Genomic DNA, 18,138 nt, shown 5'->3' with positions numbered 1-18,138 from the left:
GCGCTGGCCTCAGCCCTCTGCCTCACTGTGTCATGGCTGGTCCTGGTGCACTCCCCCAGTGAGACAAGGAAGAGCCAAGAACCCCTGGCTCAAACCCCTCACTAATAGAATTAGAATGTTCTTGTCAAGAAGGATTTCTTTTGGGGACAGCCAAGTGAGCCACATGCTCAGCTTTTAGAGGCAAAAGGACAAACATGACGCGTTCTTAGGGACTCAGCTATGGCAGCTGACACTTCCGTCTTCAGGGCAGGGCGTACGAAGAGGGGGCCTGTTAGTTGCACATGAAATCCAACTTCCTTGGGGGTGTTTTGATGATTTCTGAACACTCTGGACTTTCTTGCTATGTTTCTGTCAGTTTCCTCTTATGACTTCTGCAGGCAGTCTTGGTGCCAGCTCAAAAGGACCTTGATCACTGGAACAGCAAATGGTGGGGATAGCCCCTACCCTCTTGGAGAGTCTTTTCAACCCATCAGTTTGTGAAGGGGAGGGTGAGGTACCTGAACTGGGGGAGGGAACCCCTGGTGAGATCCTCGACCATCTTAACATTATCCACAGCCCAAGGGGAAGCCCTGAGTCAGAAACTGCTGTTTCTGTTGCTTTTAAATCCCAGCTCTGGCTCTCCATGCAGATTTCCTTAGCCAACTTCAAGCTGGACACTGCACAGCTGAATCCCCCTGGAGCACTGGAGCTGGACGCTAATGAAGTCGCCACTGAAATCTTGGGAATCTTCGAAGAAGACAGAGAAGCCGAGAGGCAGCATCTGAGGTCACCAACCAGGGCCATCAGCCCACAGGTCACAGCCTCCAGCAAGCAAGGGACTTGTGTGGCTTGTGACTCAGTGTTGGAGATAATTGCACAGAGACCTGTTTCCCTTTTCTTCTTATCCATTTATCTGCAACACTGAAACTCCCACCCTCTTTTGCATAATACATGCAACGAGGGAAGCTGTCCCTATCATCACATGCTTGTGAACTGCCGTATGGGTCAGCTTCTCACTGTGTCCGGCTGTCTGGCTGCCGTTCCCAGGGGTACAGCATCCCCACTGTGACCCTGCTGAGATTCCATCTTGGGGTTATGGGTTCTTATGTGCTGGTCACAGATGAACGACTTCACATACTAGGCTGTGCTGATCTTTTTACCACTCACCCAAAAATAGGCAAAAGACACATCCAAGAGGCCCCTTGCTGAGTCAGCTAAGCTGCTGGTGAGGGGGATGTGGGGAGTCCCTGCAGGGTCCTGGCCTTGGTCCTCACGTTGAGCCCTAGGCTCCAACAGCTGGGGCGAGTAGATGTGGTATAAGCACTCCAACCCCCAGTGCAACCTCATCAGCCATCTCTTTCGGTTGCCATTTCAAAACCCTAGTATAATTTTCACTGCTGTGTGGTGGTATTTAATTTTACCAAAGTATGACAAACTCGCAAATACATTCCCTTTGGGGCTTTTCTCACTCCTCCTCCCACTTTAAAACATAACACATTTCAAACAAACCGTAAATTCTTCCCCTTTCAACTCCTGTCCATGTCTTTCCCTTTGGGCTGCTTTATGTTTCTTCCTATCACCTTCTGACATGATGTGATGATGTCTGATGTTACATCTGACTCTCCGGGTGCTGCCGGCAGTGGCAGCTTCAGGGGGACAGAGGCTTTGCAAGTCTTTTGCTGCTTCCTTCCCTGTGTCTAGAATAGTGAGTTGTCTGGTGCCTTGTAGGAACTCAATCAAGATTTGGTGAATAGTGGCACTAAGCCATTCACTAAATATTAAATTATTGGACAACCTATGATATGTGTTGAGTACTGTAGAGGACATAAATAATGGCCAGATGGCTACCATTGATGGACGGCTGGGTGCAGAGGCCATGGGACATCTCCACATCTGTTCTACATTGAACCAGGGAGCAGTGGGATGTGGGTCAGAAAGCTGGGCTCCAGTGACCAACTGCCTGGGTTCATTTCTGGCCGCAGCACTTGGTAGATCTGTGACCTTGGGCAAGTTGTTTAGGTTCCCTCTGTGTCAGTTTCCACATTTCTAAATGGGGATAATAGGAGTACCCATCTCATTGGGGTATTGCCCAGATTAAATGAGGTCACGCATGTCAAGCACTCAGACACCCTGCAGGACACAGCCTGGATGAAGGCAGCAGTCACTAAACGCTTCGGCAGCTGATGAAGCAGGAACCATTAGGATGCCAATTAGCAGATGAGGAAATGAAAGAAGCTCGCCAAAGTACTCAGCTGGTAAGCATACGGGGCCTCAGAGGAGACCCATCCTGCCCTCCAGAAGCTTACAGTTCAGCCTGGAAGAGGAGACAATTGCACAGATAATGATGCTATGCAGTGCACTTCACAAAAACGTCAAATGCAGACAAGGTGCTTCAATTCCACCACTCAGATCCCTTTTCTTACAGAAGGACCAGCTCCAGGCCCTATATACCCCAGTGACTTCCAAACATCTTGAACCAACTCGCCTGCCATTTCAAGGGAATCTTCAGTTATGCAAGGACGTGGGCTGGGATGAGACCTCAGTGTCATGTGGTGTTCAACATTTTACACAAATAGCAGGATTTTTGAAGAGTGTTGTGTGAATAGAAAAATCTTCAATAATATATATCACAAACCGGTAGCATTCCCAGTGATGGTTGAGGGTGGGCATGTGATTCCAATTAATTAACAGGCTAAATTCATGATGGGACTTATTAGTGCCCTGTAGCAAATGTCCATACATTGACTGCATATTTCTGCTGTAAGAGTGCTGAGCCTGGGGACCCAGGACACAGACAGTGTGGCTCCCATGAGCTTCCTATTCCTTAAGCCAAACTGCTCCTTGCAAGGCGAGGCTGTTTGCTGCAACCTCACCTAAGGGAAGCTCCATTCCTTGCATAGCAAGATGAAACTTGCCTTAGATTGAAGGCCCATTAGGGATAGTCATTAACTGGTCCTTGCTTTGAACCTTGCCAATGGTGGTAAATATTCTTTAAAACAGGCTGAGCAGGCAGGCATTTCATTGGGGTGGGCCCTGTTTGAAGAATTAAGTCATCGACTAACAGAGTCTGCAAATAACCTCACGGCGACTTCCAAGGAGCAGGCCAAGGTCTGGTAGCCTCTTTAGTGCTCAAGGTCACCCGTAGCTATGAGCATCAGTGGTAGACTTAGGCTGTGTACTGGGGAGAGAAGGTAAAGATTTGCAATAGTAGTCAATGTTAATGAGTCCTCCCTATGGGCCAGGCACACGTGCATGACTTAAACTCTTCATGAATAGGAATTATTATTATTAGTTTTGAGATGAAGTCTCACTCTGTCATTCAGGCTGGAGTGCAGAGGTGCCATCTCAGCTCACTGCAACCTCTGCCTCCCATGTTCAAGTGATTCTTGTGCCTCAGCCTCCTGAGTAGCTGGGATTACAGGCACCTGCCACCACACCTGGCTGATTTTTGTATTTTTAGTAGAAATGGGGTTTCAGCATATTGGCCAGGCTGGTTTTGAACTCCTGACCTCAAGTAATCTGCCCGCCTCTGCCTCCCAAAGTGCTGGGATTACAGGCATGAGCCACATGCCCGACCATGAGTAGGAATTGTTATCCCCATTTATGGAAAAAAGTCTGAGTCTCAGAGAGGTTAAGAAATCTGCTTAGGTCACGCAGCTGGAATACTTGATGTCTGATGTTTATGGTATCCTGGATGTCTGGCTCTAGATTGTACACTCAGATTCAACTTGTCTGCAAGTCTCCCTCAAGAGAGAAGACAGGCTCTACAGAGAAGAAGAGGGGGAAGAATGTAAGGGGAGAGGAGGAGGAGAGGAAGAAGAAAGAGTAGCAGGTGTTGGGGAGTGAATTTGGGCAGCTGTGATGATTTGCCCCAGGCCCCCCAAAGGAGCCTGACTTGTTGGGCAGGAGGGCCAGCTCACAGCCATCTGCAGAACACCAAGGGCAAATCTGGGAGGTGTGGCTACTGGAGCAACTTCAAAAGCAACTATGTGTGTTTTGCCTTTGGGTATGAGTGAGACTCTAGGTTGCAAGTGACAGAAAACCTAATCAAACCAGCCCAACAGAAAAATAAACATTAGCTCATGTAACTGAAATGTGCAGAGTAGATGGCTTCATTCAGGCAAGGCTGTGTCCAGGTGTTCAAATAGTGCCTTTCTCTGTGTTGTCTCCTTTTCAGGCAGGCACTTTCCCAGAAAGATGGTGGTCTGGAGCTCCAGGTATGTCCAAAGCTCCTAATAACCCCAGCAGAGAGAGTTGCCTCTCAAAAGACTTCCAAAAGGAATTCTGGGACTGAGTGGTATTGACTCTGATGAACTTGGCCTGGGTCAGGTGTCCATCCTTGAGCCATCTTTGACCCAGGCTTGTCCATCCCTGCTCGTGGGGGTGGGAGGATGCAATACTCTCTGCCCAGTTCACCCGTGGACAGAGCCAGGCTCAGCCCCACCGGACTATGTGGAGAGAGTTGCAGGGTTGGGTGGGGGTCTCTGTATTAGCCTACTTCGGCTGCTGTAGCAAAATACCGTAAACTGGGTGGCTTAAACAACAGAAATATATATTTTCACCATTCTGGAGGCTGGAAGTCCAAGGTCCAGGTGTCAAGATGGTCAGGTTCTGGCGCAGGCCCTCTTCCTGGCTTACAGATGGCCGCCTTCTCACTGTGGCTCACACAGCCTTTCCTCGGTGTGCACGGAGGTAGGGCATCAACGAGCAAACGCTCTGGTCGGTGTCCCTGCTAAGAAGGGCACCACTCCCATCACATCAGACCAGGGCCTCCTGACATCTAACCCTGGTCATCCCCCAAAAGCTTCATCTCCAAATCCCATCACACTGGGGGTACAAGCATTCAGTTTATAGTCTCTGAGGAAAAGTCCTAGAAGAAAGAAAAGATTAACATTCTGAGAAGAGAAGACAAAACCATCAAATGTCCTGTACAAAGATCTTTCTTAGAAATCTCTCATAGTGTTCACCTTCTCCCTTTCTGTTGTCACGGCAGTGGCCCGAGGAGCTCTGGCTGTCACCCCTTCAACAGCTGCCTCGCTTGCAGCCCCGTGGCAACCTGTGGGCAGAACGCTCTTCTTAAGAGGCTATTCAGGTGTGGTTCCCCCCTTTTAGCAATGTTTTCTTCCGGGGTTATAGGGTAACGCATGACATATTGGAAAATATAGAGGAAAAAATTGCCCACAATCTCACACTCAGAGGAAGCCATATTTCCTTCTAGCGCTTTTAAATGCACTATAGATATTTTTATACAATTGAGGTCATTGTACTCATAGAATTGTATGTGTTGCTGCTTCACTTAAGTAGTGTAAACTTTTCCCTGCATCATTAAAATACCTTTGTAAAGACCCAAAACCATGGTGGCCAAGGGCATGAGGCTGTGAGTCTTGTGCCCCACACCATAGCCAGGAGATCTGGTCACAGGGATCAGCAGCTGTACCAGGACCATGGTGGGAAAGCATACTGGGAAAAAGCAGTTCCCCTGATGAAGAGAGTGGGTCTGTTTTACAGACAAAAGAATACATGTTGGTACTTAACCTTCTTCCCGCAGGCCTACCTCCATATCCAGCTTCCTGCCTGGCCAGAAGACACAGTGCTCTCTCAGCCTCTCCCACTGTGTCCCCGGCTGCCCCATCCCTGTATTTCTCCAAAGCTGGGGTCATTGTGACGCCCTGTGTTTCCTGGCTGGGAGCAATCTCACACCTTCTCCTCTGTCCCTATAGGCATCATGTATGGTGAGGACTGCCTGTCTCAGGGTTATCTAGGCCCAGTCTTCCCCCAGGGCTGTTCCTTACGCAGTGGTTACTTAATAAGAATCTTTGGGGGTGGGCACTGCTCTGGGCTGGGGATGCCATGGACAGCCAACAGGCATGGTCCTGCTCTCCTGAAGTTACAGTCTCGAGAATCAGCCTGTATTAGTCTGTTCTTATGCTGCTAATAAAAACATACACAAGACTGGGTAATTTTTTTTTTTGAGATGGGGTTTTACTCTTGTTGCCTAGGCTGGAGTGCAATGCGTGATCTCGGCTCACTGCAACCTCCACCTCCTGGGTTCGAGTGATTCTCCTGACTCAGCCTCCAGAGTAGCTGGGATTATAGGCATGCGCCACCACACCCGGGTAATTTTGTATTTTTAGTAGAGATGGGGTTTCACCATGTTGGTCAGGCTTGAACTCCTGACCACAGGTGATCCACCCACCTCAGCCTCCTAAAGTGCTGGGATTACAGGCGTGAGACATCACGCCTGGCCGAGACTGGGTAATTTATAAAGAAAAGAGGTTTAATTGACCCTCAGTTCAGCATGTCTGGGAAGGCCTCAGGAAACTGACAATCATGGCGGAAGGGGAAGCAAACACATACTTCTTCACATGGCAGCAGCAAGGAGAAGTGCTGAGCAAAAGTGGGGAAAGCCCCTTACAAAGCCATCAGCTCTTGTGAGAACTCGCTCACTATCATGAGAAGAGCATGAGGGTAACCACCCCACAATTCAATTACCTCCCACCAGGTCCCTCCCGTGACACATGGGGATTATGGGAACTATTAATTATCTTAATACAATTCAACATGAGATTTGGGTGGGGACACAGCCAAACCATATCACAACCACACAAATAACAATGTGACCAGTGCCCTAAACCTCGAGGGCATCCCTTGAGGAATTCCCCCTTGGGGAATCAGGGATGGCTCCATGGAGGAGGTGATGTCTGAGCTGAAGTCTGACAGATGAGAAGTTACCTGGTCTGAGTGGCAGAGAAGAGAGTTCCAGGCAAAAGGTACTGCAGGTGCAGATGTTCCAAGGAAGGATGGTGACCTCAGAAGTGGGTGAGGCTGGACAGCAGAGAGGTATCGGGAACAGGACAGGAAATGGGGAGAGGAGACTGGAGAGGACCGTGGAGCGGTGCAAGTAGCACCTGCAGGACTGGTGCGGGTGTTGGTCCTTGTCTAAGAGCAATCGTGAGGTGGGGGTTGAAATGATCAGTATGCCTCAGGCATCAATAGTGGATGGCAGTGGATCAGAGCTTAGGAAATAGAAGCTACTCTAGGTACTCCAAGTTTGTGGGGTTTAATCGAGGAATTGGGGGCTTTTGCAGGAGCAAAGGTAGTGAAGGATGGAGATGTTGCCAGGAAAGATCATGGCCTGCTTCACAGAGGGCTCAAGAAGAAGCTCTGGGTGTGTGGTTGTCAGGAGATCACTGGGAAGCCCCTGGGAATCCTCAGGTCTCCTGTGGGCCTGGCTGCAGCTGCCTCGGAGATCAGCAGCTCCTTCTTTTCTTCCACTGTCCAGGTTTCTCACAAGAACCTCTCCTTGCAAAAACTAACCTGAAGCCCCTGAAAGAAGGATCCTTGGAAACACAGATCTTGCCCCTGCAAAGCCACTTTAGCTGGACATGGATGCAAAGAGAGCCCCAGACATTCTGCGCGCATGGTGTGTGGTTCACAGTAGGTGGTTTGGAATCTGACGATTTGGGTTCACGTCTTGCTACTACCACTTTTGAGATATGGGACTTAAAGCACGTTATTTATTGTATGGGTCTCAGTTTCCTCTTCTGTACCATCCGCCATGGGTTGGTTAAGAAGCTGAAATGGGCCGGGTGCGGTGGCTCATGCCTGTAATCCCAGCACTTTGGGTGGCTGAGGGAGGCGGATCACCTGATCAGGACTTTGAGACCCGCTTTGCCAACATGGTGAAACCTCATCTCTACTAAATATACAAAATTTAGCCTGGCATGGTGGCAGGCGCCTGTAATCCCAGCTACTCGGGGAGGCTGAGGCAGGAGAATCGCTTGAACCTGGGAGGTGGAGGTTGCACTGAGCTGAGATTGTGCCATTGCACTCCAGCCTGGGAGGCAGAGCAAGATTCCATCTAAAAAAAAAAAAGGCCAGGCACGGTGGCTCACACCTGTAATCCCAGCACTTTGGGAGGCCGAGGAGGGCGGATCATGAGGTCAGGAGATCGAGACCATCCTGGCTAACATGGTGAAACCCCATCTCTACTAAAAATACAAAAAAGTAGCCGGGCTTGCTGGTGGGTGCCTGTAGTCCCAGCTACTCAGGAGGCTGAGGGAGGAGAATGGCATGGGCCCGGGAGGTGGAGCTTGCAGTGAGCCGAGATCACGCCGTTGCACTCCAGCCTGGGTGACAGTGCGAGACTCCATCTCAAAAAAAAAAAAAAAAAAAAGAAGCTGAAATGGGTTAATGTGCACGATGCCCTTAGACCAGCACCTGGAAGTTAGTGAGGCTCACTGTGATTGGCTGCTATTCATGATTCCATAGATGGTTCTGGACTCAACGTGGAGAATGGATAGCTACGAAGTGATCGCAGATCGAGGGACAGCTGTCCAGGGAGAGGCAGCACTGACCGGGTTGAGATGGTGGTGACAGGGCCACAGCAATGCCGATGCATTTGGGGGCTCCTTGGGGGATGAGATTGGCAGAGCGCGGTTGCAGACTGGAAGTGGGGACAGGAGCGGGAGAAGGAGGCTTCGACACCAACTCCCTGGGGGTCTGCCTCATGCAGTCCCCTGGATGTCACCGGAGCTCACTTCTCTTTGAGCACCTGGCTCTTGCTGACAGACTGCTTGGTGCATGGTGGGTGCCACGGGCCCCAAGGAGGGCAAGTTGCAGACGTGGCAGCAGTGCACATGAAAGCAGCCGCAGGGCCTGAACGCGAGGCTGTAACACGATGCGTGCGTGAAAGAGAGTCACACGGGCCTGCGGCAGGTGCGAGGAAGGTACTTCTGAGAGCCCCGTGAGCAGCTGCCTCACAGCTGGGCAGGGGAGCATGCCTGGGGGCACTCTCTGCAGCTGGGGGAGATTTGCAACCTCAGGATCAGAGCACTGGGCAAACCATTCTTGGAGCCTTCCAGGGAAAATGTAGCCTGACCCAGAACCTATTTTTGGACGATTTTTCCAGAGAGGTCCAGCGTGAGATGGACTCAAAGTGGGACTGTCGTTCAGCTCAACCACTCTGCAGATTTTAGGGTGAACCCTCCTCCTAACAGAGCCTTAGCCTCCAAAATGGGGTTGATTGTAGAGGACTGAAGTCATGATAGGCGTGAATTTAATTCATCATATTCAGTGGTATGCACTTTGAAAAAAACCGAGATATTTGGTGATTCCTCCTGTCGTTTTACTCAGTGAGTGTCCTGTGGGACAGAGAGCAGGAAAAACTGAATCCTTTGAGGGCTTAGAATGGGCCAGTCATGTTCTCAGAGCCTCACTTGTCCTAGCCCACCTTATTCTATGTGACTCAGTGAGGTAAGCATTGTTATTTTTCCTGTTTTATGGAAGGGGGAAAGAGGCTTAGAGAGAATAAGCACGTTGACCCTGATCCCCCAGCCAGAAAGCTGCAGAGGTACAGTCGGGCTGTAAGCACTGGAGAAGACCACATCCACAGCGGCCACAGAGCACTGCCCCTGCCGCACCTCCTGCGTGTCCCCCGATGCCTACACTTTAACATGGCCCTGGATGCAGGGCCATGGCAGAGCCAGCGCTTGATGGACAACACAGTGTCCTTTCTCTTGCTAGAGGAAAATCTGGCTCTACCTGACCCCTGAGATGCAGCAAATTGGGTTTTCAACATTGAAACTTCCTGGGGGATTTTTTTAATTGTTTTTTTTCTTTTTAAAAACCTAGGTGATACAACCATCTGATCTTTGGCAAACCTGACAAAAACAAGCAATGGGGAAAGGATTCCCTATTTAATAAATGGTGCTGGTAGAACTGGCTAGCCATATGCAGAAAATTGAAACTGGACCCCTCCCTTACACCTTTTACAAAAATTAACTCAAGATGGATGAAAGACTTAAATGTAAAACCCAAAACTATAAAAACCCTAGAAGAAAATCTAGGCAATACCATTCAGGACATAGGCACAGGCAAAGATTTCATGATGAAATGCCAAAAGCAATTGCAACAAAAGTAAGACAAATGGGATCTAATTAAACTGAAGAGCTTCTGCACAGCAAAAGAAACTATCATCACAGTAAACAGACAACTTACAGAATGGAAGGCAATTTTTGCAGTCTATCCATCTGACAAAGGTCTAATATCCAGAGTTTACAAGGAACTTAAATTTACAAGAAAAAAACAAACAACCCCATTAAAAAGTGTCTTATGGAAGACAGCGTAGCGATTCCTCAAAGATCTAGAGGCAGAAATACCATATGACCTAGCAATCCCATTACTGGGCATATACCCAAAGGGATATAAATCATTCTATTATAAAGATACATGCATGCGTATGTTCATTGCAACACTATTCACAATAGCAAAGACATGGAATCAACACAAATGCCCATCAATGATAGACTGGATAAAGAAAATGTGCTACATATAGACCATGGAATACCATGCAGCCATAAAAATGAATGAGATCATGTCCTTTGAAGGGACATGGATGGAGTTGGAAGCCATTATCCTCAGCAAACTCATACAGAAACAGAAAACCAAACACCACATGCTCTCACTTATAAGTGGGAGTTGAATGATGAGAATGCATAGACACATGGCGGGGGCGGGGGGGCAGGGCAGAAAATACACACTGGGGCCTGTTGGGGGGTGAGGAGGGAGAGCATCAGGAAGAACAGCTAATGGATGCTGGGCTTCATACCTAGGTGATGGGATGATCTTGGCAGCATACCACCATGGCATACATCTACCTATGCAACAAACCTGCACATCCTGAACTTAAAATAAAAGTTGAAGACAGGCCGGGCATGGTGGCTCACGCCTGTAATCCCAGCACTTTGGGAGGCCAAGGCGAGCAGATCACCTGAGGTCAGGAGTTCGAGACCAGCCTGGCCAACATGGTGAAACCCCATCTCTACTAAAAATACAAAAATTAGCTGGGCGTGGTGGCAGGCACCTATAATCCCAGCTACTTGGGAGGCTGAGGCAGGAGAATCACTTGAACCCAGGGAGGTGGAGGTTGTAGTGAGTTGAGATCATGCCCCTGCACTCCAGCCTGGGAGATAGAGTGAGAATCCATCTCAAACAAAACAAAACAAAACAAAATAAAAGTTGAAGGCCAAAAAAAGGAAATAATAATAAAAAAAGCAAGGTGAAATTCATATAATTAACCACTTTAAAATGTACAATTCAGTGGCTTTTAATACATTCTCGCTGTGCATGCATCACCACTCTGCAGTCCCAGAACACCTTCATCACCCCAAACGGAAGCTCTGCACCTGTTACCTAGTCAGTCCTCATCTCTCTCCCATCAGCCCCTGGCAATGACTCATCTTTCTGTCTCTTTGGATTTGCCTATTCTGGACATTGCATATCAAGGAAATCATAACAGTGTGTGATTTTTGTGTCCACCTTGTCTCAATTAGCATGTTTACAAAGTTTATCCATATTGCATCATGTATTGGAACTTCATTCCTTTCACGGCTGAATAATATTCCGTTGCCTGGCTATGCCACAATTGTTTATCTATTTATTTCTGGATGGACATTTGGGTTGTTTCTACCTTTTGGCTATTACAAATAATGCTACCATGAACATTTGTGTACAGATATATGTCTGGGCCCCTGTTTTCCATTCTGTTTGTTATATACCTAGGAGTGGAATTACTGGGTCATGTCATAACTGTTTAACTTTTTGAGGAACTGTCAAATTGTTCTGATGAATTCTTTTTATTTTTATTGTATTATACTTTATTGTTTTGAGACAACGTCTTACTCTGTCACCCAGGCTGGAGTGCAGTGGCATGCTTATGGCTCACCGCAGCCTCAACCTCCCAGGCACAAGTGATCCTCCCACTTCAGCCTCCCTAGTAGCTGGAACTATAGGCATGTACCACCACGCCCAGCTAATTTTTGTATTTTTTTTTATAGAGACAAGGTTTCACCATGTTGCCCAGGCTGGATATTTTTTTAATGGAGTTACAAACTTTACATCAAGCACACACATTGTTAGATAAATGGCTTGATGAATTTTTCCATACATATGGAATAAGAGATAGGACATTTCCATGACCCCGGAGGACTTTCTTGAGCCCCTTTCCAGGCAGCACTTCTCCCCATCCTAGCGGAAAGGTAACCACTGTACCGAATTCTCTCACTGTCGATTAGCTTTGGAACTTTATGTAAATAGAATCATATAGTAAGTTCTGTTTTGTGTCTGGCTTCTTTGTCTCAACACAACGTCCATGAGATTCATTGATGGTTGTTGCTATTTTTCATTGCTGTGTAGTATTCTACTGATGAATATACCATAATTTTTTTTTTTTGAGACAGAGTCTCGCTCTGTTGCCCAGGCTGTGCAATGGTGCAATCTTGGCTCACTGCAACCTCTGCCTCCTGGGTTCAAGCGATTCTCCTGCCTCAGCCTCCTGAGTAGCTGGGATTACAGGCACACGCCAGCATGCCTGGCTAATTTTATTGTATTTTTAGTACAGATGGGGTTTCACCATGTTGGTCAGGCTGGTCTTGAACTCCTGACCTTGTGATCTGCCTGCCTCGGCCTCCCAAAATGCTGGGATTACAGGTGTGAGCCACCGCACCCAGACTACCATAACTTATTTATCCATTCTATTTTTGATGTATATATTTGAGTTGTTTCCAGTTCTTGGCTCTAAGGAACCAAGCTGCTTTGAGTAGTCCTGTGCTTCTCTTTGTGCCGATGTGCGTGCACTTGTCTTGCTCATGCCCTCAAGGAGAGTGTGCACTTAGCTTGAGTGGGTGCTGCCCGGCAGCTCCCAAGGGGTGGAGCCCATGGAGCATCCACCCTGAAACGCAGGAGGGTTCCAGCTGCACCACCTTCTCATCAATAGTTGGTATTTTAAGCTTTTTTTTTTTTTTTTGGCTATCCTAAAAGAATTTTAGTAAAATTCAACTAACAGAATTTCAATAAAAATTATTTAGCACTTTGAGTGGGTAAAACATTCAGACAGCTTCTAGTTCGAAAAGTATGTAAAAGTTAACACTAAGAACCCCCCTCCCACCCTGCCCCCGTCCATCGACCCCAGTTCCCATCCCAATAGGAAAGCCCTATTAATAGTTCATTATTTATCCTCCCAGATATTTTTTATAGATAAAAGGCAATACAAATATATGTATATGTATATATATAGTCCCCGTTTTAACACAAACGGCAGAATATTATGCACTCTTTTCTGCGTCTTGCTTTTTCCATTGAGCCGTCTTTCAAAGCTCCTTTCACTTCAGGACATGAAATTCATGAGTGGATGTGCCGTGATGAGGCCGCCTTGCTGGAAATATTTAGGTGCTGGTTGATCATTTGCTTCTACAGAGAGAATTGCAATAAATAACCTTGTACAAAAATGATCTTGGTCCTGCTCAAGAGCAGAACTGGCCAGGCACGGTGGCTCACGCCTGTAATCCCAGCACTTTGGGAGGCCAAATCTGGTGGATCGTTTGAGCCTAGCAGTTCGAGACCAGCCTGGGCAACATAATGAGACCTGTCTCTACAAAAACTAAAAAACTTAGCTGGGTGTGGTGGCACAGGCTTTGTGGTCCCAGCTACTTGGGAAGATGAGGTGGGAAAATTGCTTGAGCCTGGGAGGTCAAGGCTGCAGTGAGCCATGATCAAGCCACTGCACTCCAGTCTGGGTGACAGAGTGAGACCCTGTCTTAAAAAAATTATCATTCATATTTACTTATTCATTCTTTCATTCATTCAGAAATACCAGAAATATCACTTGGGGTCCTTGTTAGGTGTCAGGCACTGTTTCAAGTACTAGGAGGAAGTGGTCACAGTGGCTCATGCCTGTGATCCCAGCACTCCGGAAGGCCTAGGCGGGCAGATCAGGAGTTTGAGACCAGCCTGGCCAGCATGGTGAAACCTCGTCTCTACCAAAAATACAAAATTAGTCAGGCGTGGTGGTGTGCGCCTATAATCCCAGCTACTTGGGAGGCTGAGGCAGGATAATCACTTGAGCCCAAGAGGCAGAGGTTGCAATGAGCTGAGATCGGACCATTGCACTCCAAACTGGGCAAAAAGAATGAAACTCCATCTAAAAAATAAATAAATAAATAAAAATAAAAGTACTAGGAGGCATCTCAGGACCTAGAACAATTGGACAGTATGCTGTGCATAAAAGATGCTCAATCTAATATTTGTTAGGCAATGAAATGAGTCTCTATAGAGCTTTCCCGCAACACCATTCTTGTTTGCTGGTTGGTTGATTTATTGTTTATGACGGTTTCAACACAAAATCAATTGAAATTCCAGGTTTTACAGTTTGTGAAAATTGTAATCTGTACAAAAAAGTGCACAAATTTGTAAGATTTGCAAAATGTACAATTTATTATTTGTGTGACTTGTAAAAAATATTTAAATTTCTGAGCTTCAGGCTCTGGACTGTACTATGGGGGATAATAACATAACCCACAGGCTTATTCAGGAGGTGGAAGAAAGTGAGCCTTAGAAAGTGCTTAATGTGGTCAGGAGCAGTGGCTCATGCCTGTAATCCCAGCACTTTGGGGGGCCGAGGCAGGTTGATTACCTGAGGACAGGAGTTTGAGACCAGCCTGGCCAACATGGTGAACCCCATCTCTACCAAAAATAAAAAAAAATTAGCCAAGTGTGGTGGGGCATGCCTGTAATCCCAGGTACTCGGGAGGCTGAGGCAGGAAAATTGCTTGAACTCGGGAGGTGGAGGTTGCAGTGAGCTACGATTGCACCACTGCTCTCCAGCCTGGGCGACAGAGCCAGTCTGTCTCAAATAAAATAAAATAAAAAAATAAAATAAAACAGTGCTTAGTGCGCAGTGCCTGCCTGCAGAAAGCCCTCAACAATGGTAGCACTGGTTATGCCTAGGACCTGGACAGCTCTGTGACATTTCATGAACCCAGAATGGCTGAAGAAGAAGCTGTGTGCAAGGAAGACGGGGGGAAAGGAGGATTGTGCCACCTCAGCCTTCCGTCCCCCAATCTGCTCTTTGCTCTTCCACTTTGAAGTGGCCACATCCCAAGGAGGGAGAATCTCATCTGTTGCCCCTTAGATCAAAGTCTCCCTGGTCTGAGCAGCTGGCAGGTCTCTCTAGGTGTCCTGAGGGGGCTGATGGAGCACGGCAGGCCCCACTCCTTGTCTGCCTGCACCTCTGATTAGCAACATATCTCCTAGCACAGCCCTTGGGTCACCTACCTAAAGTCACACTCAATGCCCTGAGATTCCTTTTGCAAAGTATGTGACAGCCCTTTCCAGGTCACTGCAGTGGAATTTGACCTCTGGAGCTGGGCTCTCCCCCTTTCCAGAGTCACAGTATTTCACGGTTTGTTCCCACCCTCCTCCAAAGACAGCAATCATGGCCATTTTCATTTTAATGTGCACTTCTTGTTATGATATTATTTGTCGATTACAAAAGTCATATATTCTCACTATAAAAATATAGAAACATAAGTGGAGAAAGTGAATCCTTTTCTCTAGAAATGAGCAGTTTGTGAAAATTCCTTTAGAATGTATTTGCCTACCCTGACCATATTTTTTAAACTAAAATGGAATAACTGCATATTGTTTAGTCACCTTCTTCTTCTTGTTTCCTTTTTAACTTTAGGCACATCTTGGACATTATTCCAAATAGAGTCATCCTTTTTTAACCGCTGCAAAGAATCCCATCATATGGATGATCTGTAACAGGGGTCCCCAACCCCTGGGCGAGGACTAGCACCGGTCTGTGGCCTGTTAGGAATGGGGCCACACAGCAGGAGGTGAGTGTTGGCAGAGAGTGAGCATTACCATCTGAGCTTCGCCTCCTGTCAGATCAGCAGTAGCATCAGAGTCTCACAGGAGCATGAACCCCGTTGTGAGTTGCACATGCGAGGGATCCAGGCTGTACACTCCTTATGAGACTAACTAATGCCTGATGATCTGAGCTGGAGCAGCCTCATCCCAAAACCATTCCCCCCACCTCCTCCCAGTCCGTGGAAAAATGGTCTTCCATGAAACTGGTCCCTGGTGCGAAAAAGGTTGGGGACAGCTGATCTACAGTATATTGTTCCCACCCCATGGTTTGATATTTAAGTGGCTGCCAATTCTTTGCCATTACAAATAGCTCTGCAGCAACAAACAGCATTATACGCATATGATATGACACTTGAGGAATTGTAAAATTGAAAGTTGGAGTTACAATTGTAAAAATAGAATCTGGGCCAAATAATAGCCGTAATATCAATCAAGTGCCCACTGGATCCAGGCATGGTTTAATGCACTTCCCGTTTACTAATTAATTTGATCCTCACAATGATCTATGAATCAGGCATTGTCAGTCCCATTTCCAGGTGTAAAAATGGAGGCACGGAGAGGTTAAATAATTGAGATCACATGGCTGGTAAGAAGTATGTTTCACCTTCTGACCCATATTCCAACACCGACTTCCAGAAAGAGTGTATCCAGGTGTGCTGTTGTGAACTCGGCCTTCCTCCACTATAGCAGAAGCAGAACACAGAGGCCCACAGCTCACAACGACCGAGCACTTCATGTAGATTCTGCCATTGCAATACTTACAGCCACCCCATTAAGTAGGAACCCTCCTTACCCCACTTTACTGTTGGGGAAACCAAGGCACAGAGCTTAAATGTTCACTTGTGATCAGCCTGCTGGTATAACCAGATTTGGAATTATGATCTGTTGAATTAAAGAGAATTCACATGAAAGTGGTTTAAGAAGTTTATGGGCACCCAAGACTCCTGGTCCACTAGATGACCCCTCTCCCCCAGGCATTCCCTTTGTACATCATTGGTGGATTTGGTGTCATTTGTGGATGGCAGTGACAGTGCCCTTGGAGATCTATGGGGGTGGTTGGGATGATTTCGGCACAGATGTCAAAGTTGAGCAGGCTTCTATCTGTGAGAGGGCAAAACTGTCCTCCAGGCGAGGGTTTGATACCACTTAGTGGGAAGGGAGGGAGGGCAGAGATTCCCCCAAAGTTGAGGAAGGGAGATGGGAGGGATCCTTGCTCTGAGATAGCCTCCAGGTGAGTACCTCCTGGGGCAGCCATCTGTGTGCCCCTCCCCATCCGCTGTCCCCTCCCCTGCACACTGGTCTGGGCTCCTCAGCTTCACTCTGTGGCCTCCCGGCATCCAGCCCCAGGTGCAGCCTGGGCCACCCACAGCTTAGTGCCAATTGCTTTACTCAGCTAATTAGATCAGCACCTCAGCCTTCTCAGGTGCCTCTGGATGTCCAGATGTGGGCCTGAGGCTGGGGAGAAAGAAGGACAGTCTCCTTCCCTCAGGGCTTATCAGGAAGGAGACAGACTTATTTCTAAGGAGAGACAGCACAGGCCTGGGTAGAGTTGGGGGTGACCAACTGATAATGTGGACAAAGCTGTGTCTGGGAGGGACCTCCGAGGAAGAGTGAGACAGGAAAGAAGGGGAGGGGGATGGCTTCCTGGCCACTGAGGAAGGACGATGGGGTGGAGTCAGCCCCCAAGGGGTAGCCTAGACTGCTCAGATCCCCCACCCACCCCCTGCTGCCGCAAACACACATACCAGGGGCCCACTGAGCCCTGGGGTGCTGCCTTTCCTGCTTGGAGAGGGCTGCCCCAGCTGGGATGTGACCCCAGCCCCTGTTCATGAGTCTGGTCCTGGGACCCTGGCTTCTCTGTGGAGTCTTTGTATGTTTGTGGATCCTTTGCTTACCCCCTCTCCATTCTCTTAGAGTGAAGACAGCCATCTCTGGGGTGGGGAGAGGGCCCTGAGAACCTGCCCTGGTCCCCCTGGCTGCAGCATCGTGTGGTTGCCAGGGCCTGGTAGCCCCTTTTGTCTCCTGCTTCCCCTAGGGCCCCCTCACATCACCTCCCACAGCTGCACAATGGACACAGGATTTCTGCTCTGAACCTTTGCACAGGATGCTCTGTCTGTCCCAGAACACATTTCCCCGCTTCTGGGGTGGGGTAGGGTTATCATCCTGGGGAACCTTACCCATCCTTCAGATCTGAGGTGACATTTTCCCCGCCTCCCCTACTCATTCTGGGTGGAGTCCAGCTGCTAGCCATGGGTACCTTAGCTGAGCTTTAAAAAGACGCCCTTGTACCATGATTATGCAAGATGCTAACATTAGGGGAAGCCGGGTGAAGGGCAGATAGGAACTCTGCTGGTTTTGCAACCTTGCTGCAAGCCTAAAATTATTTTCAAAACACAAATTAGTAAGCAAAGATGTCCATTCCTCCCGACAGTCTTAGTGGGCTTGATCTCA

The 18,138-nt window shown here is 47.9% G+C and overlaps 1 long non-coding RNA gene across 1 annotated transcript in view, besides 2 other annotated features; it reads left to right on the top strand.

The window, feature by feature from the left end:
* The window catches only part of LOC105372687 (uncharacterized), a 55,307-nt gene that overhangs the window by 19,782 nt on the left and 17,387 nt on the right, over window positions 1-18,138 (top strand). Inside the window, exons 3-7 of the long non-coding RNA XR_007067670.1 lie at window positions 4,161-4,196; window positions 4,973-5,071; window positions 5,528-5,711; window positions 7,262-7,402; window positions 15,500-15,653. This is a non-coding gene — a long non-coding RNA (uncharacterized LOC105372687). The remainder of the gene's footprint in view (window positions 1-4,160; window positions 4,197-4,972; window positions 5,072-5,527; window positions 5,712-7,261; window positions 7,403-15,499; window positions 15,654-18,138) is intronic.
* Window positions 8,061-8,596: an enhancer, noted in NCBI's record as "H3K4me1 hESC enhancer chr20:55876343-55876878 (GRCh37/hg19 assembly coordinates)". NCBI's record gives its function as "activates a minimal SCP1, AML or CMV promoter by ChIP-STARR-seq in naive H9 embryonic stem cells {active_cell/tissue: H9 hESC(naive)}" and the evidence as "EXISTENCE:reporter gene assay evidence [ECO:0000049][PMID:30033119]".
* Window positions 17,037-17,536: an enhancer, noted in NCBI's record as "H3K4me1 hESC enhancer chr20:55867403-55867902 (GRCh37/hg19 assembly coordinates)". NCBI's record gives its function as "activates a minimal SCP1, AML or CMV promoter by ChIP-STARR-seq in naive H9 embryonic stem cells {active_cell/tissue: H9 hESC(naive)}" and the evidence as "EXISTENCE:reporter gene assay evidence [ECO:0000049][PMID:30033119]".

Source organism: Homo sapiens, chromosome 20, assembly GCF_000001405.40.
Source record: "Homo sapiens chromosome 20, GRCh38.p14 Primary Assembly".
Taxonomy (NCBI): Eukaryota; Metazoa; Chordata; class Mammalia; order Primates; family Hominidae; genus Homo; species Homo sapiens.
The sequence above is the reverse complement of the archived record's forward strand: the minus strand, read 5'-3'. Positions and strand labels throughout refer to the sequence as shown.